At 37.4% G+C, this 12,774-nt stretch overlaps 1 protein-coding gene across 4 annotated transcripts in view; it reads right to left on the reverse strand.

Moving 5' to 3' along the window:
- The window catches only part of VPS41 (VPS41 subunit of HOPS complex), a 186,218-nt gene that overhangs the window by 40,652 nt on the left and 132,792 nt on the right, over window positions 1-12,774 (reverse strand). For 3 of the 4 annotated variants that reach the window (XR_007060008.1, NM_080631.4, NM_014396.4), the window contains 5 exons: window positions 10,490-10,619; window positions 8,897-9,012; window positions 7,573-7,629; window positions 3,912-3,973; window positions 1,955-2,036 (listed from right to left, as the gene is read on the reverse strand). Coding sequence is in view for 3 of the 4 variants with exons in the window: in NM_080631.4 (NP_542198.2) it covers window positions 1,955-2,036; window positions 3,912-3,973; window positions 7,573-7,629; window positions 8,897-9,012; window positions 10,490-10,619 (447 nt within the window). In the remaining variant the exon portion in view is untranslated. Of the gene's footprint in view, window positions 1-1,954; window positions 2,037-3,911; window positions 3,974-5,554; window positions 5,705-7,572; window positions 7,630-8,896; window positions 9,013-10,489; window positions 10,620-12,774 lie in introns of those variants that run through there. The other variant, XM_017011988.2, reaches the window with a different exon arrangement.

Raw genomic sequence — 12,774 nt, forward strand, 5'->3', positions numbered from 1 at the left:
AAGTATATTTTTACTTTAAAAATGTGAGGGAATACAGTACTCTGAAAAAAATGTTTTGAACAGGATTTAAATGAAAACTACTTTCTAACAATAAATTATAATATATTTTCAAAAGTATATACATGTATGAATGAATTTAAAAATTGCCTAGGTTAATCTTTATCTCTCTGTTCTTCCTGATGAGTTAATAGAAATCTAAATAATAGGAGGGAGAAAGTCACAGAGATGAAAAAAGTCGACTTCTTAAGTAATCGAGGAGTACAGGTAATCTATTCATCTTTCCTTCCTTCAACTGGAGTTTACCAACCTTCACCAACTCATAATCATCTTTTGAAATTAGGAAAAATACATCTTGTGTTCTTCAGATATTTTCAGTACTGTGTTAAAAGTCAAATTTACAAATACTGTTCAATGACCCTATAATGCCCTACAATCCAATCACCACACTTTTTACTGGGGACAGACAGAGAAGGTCACCATCCCCAAGGAGCTCACAAGTCCTAGAAGAAAGATATGCAGACAATTAAACAGACAATAACTGTATTGTGTGGTAAGTGTTATAACAGAGGGGTCAGCACAGTGCTGCAGCAGCAGAGGAGAACCATGCCCACTAAAGCCCTGGGTTTCTCAGGAAAAAATAAGAGAGGGGCAGGACATCTGGCAGGGGGAATAGCATGAGCAAAGGCGTGGAGCCATGAACATGCATCTGTGTGCAGGGAGGTCAGAGGAGCCCAGAGATGCGAGATGGCGTCACTGAAGGGAGGTGAGGCTGGAGAGGAAGGGGAGGTGGGGTCTTGAGAGGAATTCTGATTTTATTCTATAGGCAGGAGGGAAGCAACAGGTATTAGGGAAGTGAGAGTCCAGACTTATTTTTTATGCAGATAACTCTGGGCTAGGGCTGCCCACAGATCTATCAGAAGGCATTTGCTATGGCTCAGGCAAAAGTTAAGGCAATGGTACCACAGGGGAAGAGAAGAGCCCCGATTGGTATTGACATGAAAAAAATGACAAGAAGTGGAGATTAAACAGAATGAGGAGGGGTGTAACATGTTCTAATCAAGAACAGTGGCTTTGAGCTAATACACTCTGGGGAATGGGTATATTGTGTATCACAAACACAGACTCAATGGAAAAGGACTGAATTTGGGAAGGAATGGATTTATATTAACTTGAATTATCATCATCAGCAGTATATACAAGGAGAAACGGCCATCACATGATATTCAAAAAAAAGGTCCAAGTTACACAGCCATTAAAGTAAACAGGGAGGCACGACTGGATAAAATCCTCCAGAAACCATCCAATAAACCCAATGAGAAGTGTAACATTTACAGGGCAGACAGGAGGAGTCACACGGTTGACAAGATGAGTAACTGGGAATTTTTAAAGCATATTTATAACTTGAAGAGAGCATTCAAAAGGTCCACAAATACTGAAAAATTTTTAAATGTTTAAAACAAATATAGGAATACTTTATTGATTGATTAGGATGTTGTGCACTAAGTTGAAAGATTTAAAAAAAGAAACATCAAAATTATTCATTAGAGCTAGGTGGTCAATTTTTTCCATCTGTCTTTCAGCAGGTAAAATATTACTTGAAAAATACAATATTATTCAGTAAATCTAAAAAAAGTCTTATGCTTTATAACCTACTGGATGAGATTACACCTATTTTCAAAAGTCATTAAAAAGAGCATGAAAACTTCATCTAAACACAGAGAGAATTGGAAAGAGATAAGTGAACACATTGTATATGTAATAAATATATAATCTTATATATTTTTTTTTACACGAGGCTTATATTTTGAAACTGTCTCTAAAAGTTTGATTTTTCTTTCCATCTGAGATAATAATCACGTCCTAAAAAAGAGCTGAGTACTATTATCTTTGTTTCCACTGCAATATTAATATACTACTTGCAGAAACTGAGAGTTAAAAATAAGGCTTTGCTTACCTTAAGCTGTCCAATTTCTTTAAATTTATAAACTTCATATTCCCAGAGTGCTGCATTTTTCCCAAGAATTTTCTGGCATTTGCTGGCAGTAAAAACATCCCAGGCAGAAAGAAAGTATATATTAAAAAAACAAAAAACAAACAGAGACAGAATAAGTAGACATTTTCCCCAGAGGTTTAGAGAAATCTCTCTTCTCAGAGTTTTGATGAATTTCTATCTCAAGTACCAACGAACATAAAGATATTACTGTTACTCATTTGGTTGCATACATAAATTAACACAACTTATAAAAGTTAATATAAAATGCTTATAAATAAAGATGAATCACTTCAGAAGACTATAACTAGGGGCTTTCCCAACTATCTGCCTGTTCTAAGTTTCCCATTTACCCAGAGGAGCACTGCTGGTTTCGGGAGACCTTTCTTGCCTTGAAGAAAACTTGTCATACCCCAAAGTGCCAGAACCTTTCTAAATGGCTTTAAATTATGCACTACAAAATCAGACTTCAGAAAACTAGAATCCTATCCTACTATATAACCTGGAGGACTGCTTATGTATGAATGAAACCTTACTTTACACATCAAAGAAACACATTTTCTTAAATAACCTCAGGAGACGAGAAGCAGGCTTGAGGGCACTCTTCCAGGACTGCCATGCAGTCATGCAGCGGGCACTGCCAGTTCCAGTGGGAACCCCTCACACAGACTTGCACACCACTACATAACATTTATGTGTTCTGCCCACCACAGACCTCTGCAACCCAGGATCCTGGGGTCTAGTCACTTCTATTTAACTGCCATCCTTAGGTTGGGAAAATTCTCTTTGAATCATAAGCAGAGGCACTTTCTTCTGGACTATCTTCCAAGGATGCTTATAAAGCAAACAGCTCTAGAAATGAGACGACACAAATAGTGTCTCCCTCCTGAGGAAAGGGAAGGTTTCTTACTGCCCAGTACAATAAAGGTAAAATGACGCCTTTAGGACAAAAGGCAGACAAGGTGATAGGGTTTGGCCGTGTCCCCACCCAAATCTCATCTTGAATTGTAGTTAACATTAATCCCCACATCATGGGAGTGACCAGATGGAGATACCTGAATCATGGGGATGGTTTCCCTCAACCTGTTTTCATGATAGTGAGTTAGTTCTCACGAGCTCTGATGGTATTATGAGGAGCTTCCCCCTTCATTGGGCTCTTGTTCTTCTCCTTCCTGCCTGCCTTGTGAAGAACGACACGTTTGCTTCCCCTTCTGCCATGACTGTAAGTTTTCTGAGGCCTCCTCAGCCATGCTGAACTGTGAGTCAACTAAACCTCTTTCCTTTATAAATTATCCAGTATCGAGTATATCTTTATTAGCAGTGTGAGAATGGACTAATACATGGGGTTCTTGGTCACTAGAAAAGATTCAGATACCCTAAGCTCAGGGGTCCTCTTCCGTATCACAACCCACTGCATGGGCAGGATCTCCATGCCCACCCTCTGTTGCATTGTGGGAATTGGGGTTTGGGGATCGGGGCAAATGTTGACACTCTATTTGACTACTATTGTTGTAGCAGTACCTTGGCTGGTACTATTGCTCACAGAGTCCTTTAGCTCTGACCTGGGAGTCTCTTGTCTTCTGCCAGCAACCAGGGAAATGACAGGCTAACTTGTTAGACTGTAAATAGGTAAAGTCTGAGATCCTTCATGGTTCTTGATACCTTTCTCATTAATAATGAGAAAAAAAATTCTCCTTCGGTAAAAATGAAATAGTTGGGAAAATAATAAACATTAAACTGATTCTGTGCTTGGAATCATTAATATTCAAAAATTATAATTTAAAAATAATATTCAAAAATTACCCTCGTTAGAAAGATGTACAAAAATAAAATGTCAACTGCAAAGAATGGCTTATTTTTACTGTTAGCAATGCTCAATTCTATTTATATTAACAAATAATTGTGAAAATGTCATCATTACCGTGCTGCTATGTCATAGTCTCCTCTCTCCACCAGGTGATTTATATATGCCAAGCCAATATCCTAGAGAAAGCCAAATGAAGAAATGTCAAAATTTAACTGAAACAACTGAAAAGTTGAGTCTCGGTTTCTGCACAGGGCATAACATTAGGGTCCTATTAGCTCTACTGACTATAACCTGTTTATACTCTTAGCTTGCTTTATGTAATTACACTTGCTTCTTAAGCATATTCATATTTAAATGTATTTATATTTTCATACATTTTAGAATTCACAGGTCAGGTCATTAAAAAAAGTAAATAATGTTAGTATTTTAAAGGCTCCTAATCTGCCCCCTTTAAGACATTTTTTCATAAAGGAGGTATTCGATATTAGAAACATGATCGAACAATTCCACACTGTTAATGTATATAAAATTGTTTCCTGTGCCTTCATCTGTAGAATGCAAGCTACCTACTTCTTCTACCCCAAGTCTGAAGAGAAGTTATAAGAAAAATGAAATAATGACTATCATACTAAAGGAAATAGGGAATATTAAAGTTGATATGAGCTCAGAAAAACCTGTGATTCAAACCCATCAGTTTACAGAAGAAATTGGGCTGAAAGCAGGGAAGTGACTGGCTTCAGAGTATTCATGTTTATTCGCTTATTCTACCTGGGTTCTGAAAGGATTTGGGGTGGCCAACATCACCAGAGGCATGGGAGGACAGCTCTTGCTTGATCTCCCCATGACTCATCTTCTCATATACTATTTGCACCTAAAAGTATTTTCACCAGAAGCTTAAGCTTGATATATATAAGAAACGTTGGGTGTTGATTTCTACTTTATGTACAAAAAGGTGCATAAGAAATACCTTCTTGGATGGCAAAAAAAAAAATGGCAGGAGCCCATTTCTTCTCTGCATGTTTGGTATGAAATTACATCATGCTAAGAGAAAAATAATCTATTCATAACTAATGTATAGGACTAATGTACAGGACATGCCCATTTCAAGAGTGAAGCAAAATACCCATCATTTTTAGTATATTAAATTTTTACTTTAATAACTACTATGTGAGAAATCATATTTCAAGTCTATAGGAACAGAAGTGAAGAAAGAGTGTCTAACTTCCTTATTTTTCTGGAAACAGATCACACGTAACAATTCTACACAGGTTCTTTCCATCAAGGTTCAGAGAAAGAATGTCTCCTTTTCAGAGTCAATCCTTCCAACCTTTCTCCTCACGTCCATGCTTCTCCACTGTGGAGCTTATCCTGCACTCCTCCTCTTCCTTTTATATCAACCTTTTATGTCAACTCTATTTTACCTCTTTTCCCTCAGCATAAGCATGTTTAAGTGCCTCTCTTACACAAAATACCCAAAAACTACCATCATCCCAGGATGCCATAGCCCCAGCTACAGCCTCAGCTACAGCCTTCACTCTCTTCCCCTTCACAGCTAACCTGATAATCTATACTCAGAACCGTACTTTATAATCTCCTATTCACTTTTCACTCCCTACAACATGTTCAGAATAAATAATACACATACAGAAAATTCACTACTTTCATATCACCAAATCCAGTGTACAACTGACCAGCTGACCTCGTCTTACCCTTCTGACCTGCTTACCTCCACTACTCAAGCATTTAATTCTCTTTACCCTGGAATTCTCTCCTCTCTCAGCTCCCATGAAATGACCTTGCTCTGGCTGTTCCAAATCTACTATGTATGCATCATCCCTTGAATGACAGCATTCCTGATGGTTCCATTCATGGTCCTCTGTTCATGACACTCACTCTAAAATGTATGAAAATATAAATACATTTAAATATGAATATGCTTAAGAAGCAAGCATAATTACATAAAGCAAGCTAAGAGTATAAACAGGTTACAGTCAGTAGTGCTAATAGGACCCTAATGTGTCCTGTGCAGAAACTGAGACTCAACTTTTCAGCCCAAATTTCTTTCCTGGGCTCCACTACGATGTCCCACAGATTCCTAAAACTAATGTGTTTAAAATAGGATTCATCATTTCTCCCAATCCTGCTTCTCCTTCCACAGGGTATCTCTATCAATCAGTAAATGGCAGCACCAAACCAGAGGCCCAAGCCCAAAGCCTGGGAGTCAGCCTAGATTTTTACTCTTATTCTTTCATCCACACAGAGTCAGTTACCACATCCCAAAGATTAAAAGTTTACTGTATCTTCCATCTATCTTCACCTCTCCAATCCTATTGATTCTGTGTAAGTCTCATGACCTTCCACCTGGATTAGGAAGCCTCCTGATTGATCTCCATCTCAGCTGGCCCTCCTCTGGCCCCATCTCCATCAGAGAATCTTTCTAACAGGGAAATCTGATGTCTGAAAGCTTAAATTGACTTCTAGATGTTCCAAGAGAGAAGCAAGCTCTTAATTACGAACGGCACTTCAGGATCTGACCTTTGCTACCTATGTAGTAAACCCCTCAACTGCTGTGTGCAGTGGCTCATGTCTATAATAGCAGCACTTTGGGAGGCCGAGGCAAGCCGATCACCTGAGGTCGGGAGTTCAAGACCAGCCTGACCAACATGGAGAAGTCCCGTCTCTACTAAAAATACAAAATTAGCCAGGTGTGGTGGCGCATGCCTGTAGTCCCAGCTACTCGGGAGGCTGAGGCAGGAGAATCGCTTGAACCCAGGAGGCAGAGGTTGCGGTGAACCAAGATTGTGCCATTGCACTCCAGCCTGGGCAACGAGAGCGAAACTCCGTCTCAAAAAAAAAAAAAAAAGCCTTCAACTGCCCACATAACCAAGCAGGCCAAGCTGTGGCACCTCTCTGCCTCTTCACATATGTTAACTACTCTAAGGGCCGGAATGCATTCTCTTCCATTTCTAGAGAATCCTTGCTTATTCTCCACAATTTTGGCTGGATTTTTTTTTTTTTTAAGATGCTCTGGTTTTCTATTCTCCTGTTATTCCTAAATTATTTTGCTTCTGCACTCTTTGACAATTCAGGCTTTCATGTGGAGTTTTACAGAGAAGTTTACGGTAGGGAAAATGTAGGCAGAAAGAATTTGTACTGAAACCCAAATAGGCATAAAAGACTGAGCTTCCAGTTTTCACCTGTAAAAAAGGGAACTCGGCTAGATGGTCTCCAAGGACCCTTCACATGTGCAGGATGTGAGTTCCTCTGCTCTCCATCTGCACATTCACTGTCACAGTTAACAAGGAAAGGGGCTTTCAGTCATTCTATTTTTCCTGAGTCCAAAATGTAATAAAAATGTATTTGATGCTCTAGATTAGTTTCCATAACAAAATCAATTGAGTCTGTTATTATGGAAACACCAAAGCAATGCAGTTTTAGGAAACCTCTCTTTTTTTGATAAATTTTGTGATAATGTGATTTTTACCTACGATTTAGGGAAACTTTCATACACATAACTAGAAAGCTCTGTATTTAAAGTGTTTTCCACAGATACAGTTTCCAAATTACCTAAAACTGCCTCCTAGCAGGTGTTCAAGTCTCTTGTTTACAAGCAGAAACTGATTTGATAAAATATTTTGATCTCATAGGTTAGGGAATTAGTTTAAAATAAATTCTCAAAAGATAGGAAAAACCTGTTCTTTTCAAATTATTTTCAGTCTCACTATAACTTATTGAAAGATAAAATTATGTTTCAAATAACAAATTGCACACTTACCAGAATCTTATGTCTTTTAATATTTTTTTGGCTAATTTCAGCTGCCATCAATGCTTCCTTTATTCCAAACATAAGGATGATTTAAAAAAAAAAAAAAGCAGAAAAGGAGGGAGGGAAAATGGGAGAAGGTGGGAGAGAAAGATATTGAGGTTATAAACACTATAGTTATTATGGTTTAGCATTCTGCACTACACGAATAAAGCTCCATTTTCCCATGGCTTTTGCTTGAAGCATTGGAATTGTTAATGCTATGGTTGAATGAACCTCACTGAATTCAAACTCAAAGGCAGTCAACCAAAATGAAGACTTCTCCCACTTCCATTTGAATTCATTTCCTCATTAGGACAATGGAATCACATTTCAGACACAAATCAAAATACAACAAAGTCTCCTAGTCTCCATACAAAAAAAGGCAGCTGTCTTCTAGATCTTTATGACATATTGATAAAGGAGCATTTTCCCTTATGTTTCAATAAAAAAGTGAACTATACGCATGTTTATGTATATCTAAAATTAAGTCTTTGAAAAATCTCTGATTTTGTTTTTATTTTGGAAAGTTTACAAATACTACTTTAACATAAATATTTAAAACATACAATTATTTCTTTGAGAAACTACTGGATTTAAAGTAACATGGTAATTACTGGGTTATGAACTAGGTATCGATACCTGGACTTTAAATAGTTTATAAATGAAAAAAAAAATTTTTTTCCAAATCCTTTCAGATGGTGACAAACTTAGTACAACAAATACGTAGACTATTTGTTGTGGATGTTGTTTTAAATTAGTATATAAGCCCATCTAAGAACGTAACTTTGTAGCTATTAAAGTTGAAAAATGGTTTTTTTCTTTTTTTTTAAGCGATATTGGGCATTATCTATTCAAATTAATCTAAGCCAAACCTCAATGAAGTGGACAACATCATTCTATCCAAACTGATAGTTCAAACCATCCTAAGTGAGTAAAAATGTGATAAGTATAAAATAAACGATTTCATTAAATCTAAATAGACACTTCTGAAATACTATCTCTAATTTCTTTGAACAAAATCAAAAAATGAAACTTCCAACAGTCTAGATCTAACTCACCTCCTCCCTCCACTCCCAACTCCTCCCCCACTTAACAGGAAAGCCAGTCAATCCATTGCAATCTTTTGGTTCCCTAATTTCTGAAGGGGGTACTAGAAAGTTATTAACTTCCTACATATTTTTGGCTTGGGAAACTCTACTTTGACTACATAAAAGATTTATTACAAAAACATTTTATCTTCTCTCTCTATGCTGTAGATGAGTCAATACTTTCAAAGAAGTAAAATCAAGGGTACTTCATATTTCTTCTTTTCAAGGAGCCAGTCAATGTGATCATCTTGGTCTCGTTCCTTGGCCACTACAACATCTCTCGGACTCACGATGTAAAAAAGTGATTCCCCTTCAGAGTATTCTGTAGGTGAGAAAAGAGAGGAACGACTTGGTGACTGAACAGCAGAAAACTTGGCAATGGTTTCAGAGGACCTGGTTAGGTTACCCAACCCAAGAGCGAACAGAAAATGTGTCTATCTTTGTTGTGTGTTTGGCTCTGCTGGAAGGTAAGTGTGGGAGACAGGGTAAAGAATGACAGAAGCGTATTTCAGTGCTTTTAAAAATATTTAAGTGTAAAAATACTTGACCAAAAAGCAAGAGAGGGAAGGAGAAGGACAGAAAGGGAGGGAATGACATACTAAAAAACTTGAAAAAAAAATAAGGTGAGTTTAAAATTCTACGTTTAATACATCAACACTCTGACTTCAGCTGAAAAAGTGTTAAAAATTCTCTATGTCTACTGCATATTAGAATTCATCTACTGTATATAAATTTTATTTGTGGCCATTTACAGCATTGTTCTACTTTTACAGAACAATTACACCCCATGGTCAGCGATAAATGTTTCCTCCTCATCAAGGTCAAGGCCACCTAAGGCATAAATGACAGATGCCCAAGCCCTAGGGACATAATCTATCATTTCAGCATGTTGTGCACAATGCCAATCTGAGGGTTTCCTGCAGAATTCAATTATAAAACCTGTTCTGAAGGGTTTCTAAGTGTGCAGGAGAGTTTGCTCTGAGCCAAATACCTAGATTGGACACTTTTCAGTTGTGAATCACAGTTGCTTTTTGCCAAGTCTAGAATATACTCTTATGTTTTTCAATGGATTAGGGTCTTCATATAAGAAAGTTTAAACATATATAGAATATTTCTTCATTTCCTTTGGCCACAATGAGAACTGAAAATATTCTCAACAAATGTCAATTGTGTTTAAAGTAGTACAGCATTCCTACAAAGCTGAACTGTTCTATTTTCATTAATATATTTTACAAGGGTATGATAACAGCCAAACACAGATGTCTCTGGTATGACTAAATATTAATGGTTCTCCCTGTATTTATGAGCAGTGACTAAGTGTATTTCTCCGTCCACTCAACAAATATTCACTGAACACCTAAAATGTGCCAGAAGTCTTTCAGGCTCTGAGCACTCAGTTACAAACAAGAAAGACAACTTCTCTGCCACCCCAGAGCGAACTTTCCTGACACATAAAATGGGAGTGATATGACAACCATGGAGCCATGCAGCTTGACATTAAATTATGTGTCACATTAAATAGTTAGGACAATAGAAAAAATACAAGAACAAAAAACAAGGGGCCCAATCCTCCCCCGGGTCCTGGTCTGAACTCTAGCCTTCCCTTTTACTATAGGAGCTTATGCAAGTTTTGCAACATCTCTGCATCCAAATGTCCTTGTTTTCAGCACACACAGTCTACGCAGGTATTCTCTTAAGATTCTTTCAGCACCTTAATTTAAATTCCATTTATTGCAAGTAGGAAGGGGGAGAAAAAAACATTAAAAAAGCATATCAGCCAGATCTTTCATATCTCCTACCTAAATGATAATCTCTACATTCATTCTCCTGAAAGCCTCTGACTGTCAAAGCATCAGAAGAGATCTCTTCACAAGTCTCAGAAAGTGGCTGGATGATGTCCAGTCTAGGCCTGGCACAGTATTCTCTTTCCTAGTGGGGGAAAAGAGAGAAACATTAATTTAAATTACATTTCTATATATCATACAAATTAATTCTAGTTAGCCATACATATTAGTTTCTTCTCACACTCCTATGAAGAAATACCCAAGACTGGGTAATTTATAAAGGAAAGAGGTTTAACTGACTCACAGTTCTGCATGGTGGGAAAGGCCTCAGGAAACTTACAATCAGAAAACATTCCAAAAATAAAATAGCAACTATAAAAGATCAACTAGTGAAGAAAAATCTATCAGATCTGTGGAGAAATTACAAATTGCTAAACTTTGAAACAACTGAAAAAAAATGGAGAAAACTGAAATATATTTAAAAATTGACCACTGTAACAATAAAAATATCAAAATCAGAATAGCAAAATAAAAAAATATTTTGAACAAAATAAAAAGAAAATCACTTCACTAGACCATAGAAAAGGCTCTTTTATATGTATAAGAAAAGCATCAGCAATGTGAATCTCATTTTATACTTTCGTTCCCTGGCCAAACAGCCCTTGCCTGTGAACTCCCTAAGAGCAGAAATCTGGTTTTGTTGATCTTGGATCTCCAGTGCCCAGCACAATTTCTAACACACATGTGCTTTATCAATGAATGAAAGAAAAGTAAAATACTAGGAGAACACCTTAATAAATTAAAGTGTACCAAGCAGATGGAATAGTACACAACCACTAAACACAATGATGGTGGCAAGTACACAGACATACGCAGGGAAAATGGAATAATGCCCATGAAAACAGGGCAATGCAGAGTAGCATGTGACTATCCCTGCAACTATGTGAAAACATGCATGTACGTGAAAGGTATCACGTGGATATCTGGGGGCTATTTGGGGGATAATACTGAATGATATAAAACAAATTGTATTCAATGTCGCTAAACCACCTTTTCAGTATGAAAAAATAAAGGGGGAAGGGAGCTTACCTCTTTGTTCCTTTTGCCTTAATTTTATGAGTTTATTCTGTGTTTAAGGATTTAAGGTGTACTTTAATGTTCTATAAAATGAGTATCTACATACACTGGCATAAACATGTTCCAGTCATCTCCAAAACCCTCGCTTCTTCTTCTGGAAAAAGTCCATTTTCTACGTGCTCTATGAGGTTGGCCTATCTTTGGCATTTATTCCCTTCAAATACTCTTTTATTAACAAAGGTTTCCTTTCTTTCTTTGCTCAGTTGTTTATTAGGCTTCTCCTTTTTCGTTTTACTGCTTCTTTATTTCTTCCAATCACATTCTCAATCTTTCCTGCATTCCTCCTCAAAAAGCATTCTATTTACTCCCCCAGGAGCCACTGCTTTTATTTTCAAAAAATAAATAAAATAATAGCAAACTGATGTCCTGCAATAGGGCTAGAAGCCAACCCTATTGATTTTAGTAGGTCTGAGTGTTCACTTAAGTCTATAGCATTTCATTGCCTAGCAACATGGGCACCCAGAGCTTCAGGTTACTATAGTGATGGCTTCCTAATGCAAGTGCTTGCTCAGAGAAACGCTCAAGAGCAGCTACCACTTCAAAACCAGGGCTCCCAGGGTTTTTCTCCCCCATTTTATTTCTTGCCATTTAAAAAAAAAAAAAGGATACAAACAAGGATAGTCCACTTGCCTACTTACTGTAAAGGACTAGAGAATCAATTACAATTTCTTCTATATACAGCATCCAAAAGAAAATCCTTTACAGTATGCTTTCCTTCTTTATGCCTTGAAGCCACCCCTATTCTTGTGCTGGCAGGACCCCTGGACTCTCATAATAAAGACAAGCTGGGAATGGGGCCGTCCTCAGCTTCAAAGGGAGACTGGGTGTGGATACCCATCCACTGGGCAATATATAAGCTTCTTCCAAAGACACGCACAACAAAATTTAGATCATCTGCTGCTTTTTATTAGCCACAGATTTTGATGTACCATTATTTGCACTGATAACTGAGATTTCACAACAATCCATTTCAAAGCCATAATCAAGCTACTTAGAATCACCAGCCCACTAGGAAGTAAACAAATATGTCTGGACCAAAGAAAATAATGAAATGCCCTTTCTGTAATTCCCTCTGACCACAGGGACCCCTGTTGTTGCTGCTGATCAAGTTCATTGCTGTCATTTCTGCTAATGCACAGTGTCAGCTTAGTTTCTTCCCCTTT

Source organism: Homo sapiens, chromosome 7 (genome assembly GCF_000001405.40).
Source record: "Homo sapiens chromosome 7, GRCh38.p14 Primary Assembly".
NCBI classification, from domain to species: domain Eukaryota; kingdom Metazoa; phylum Chordata; class Mammalia; order Primates; family Hominidae; genus Homo; species Homo sapiens.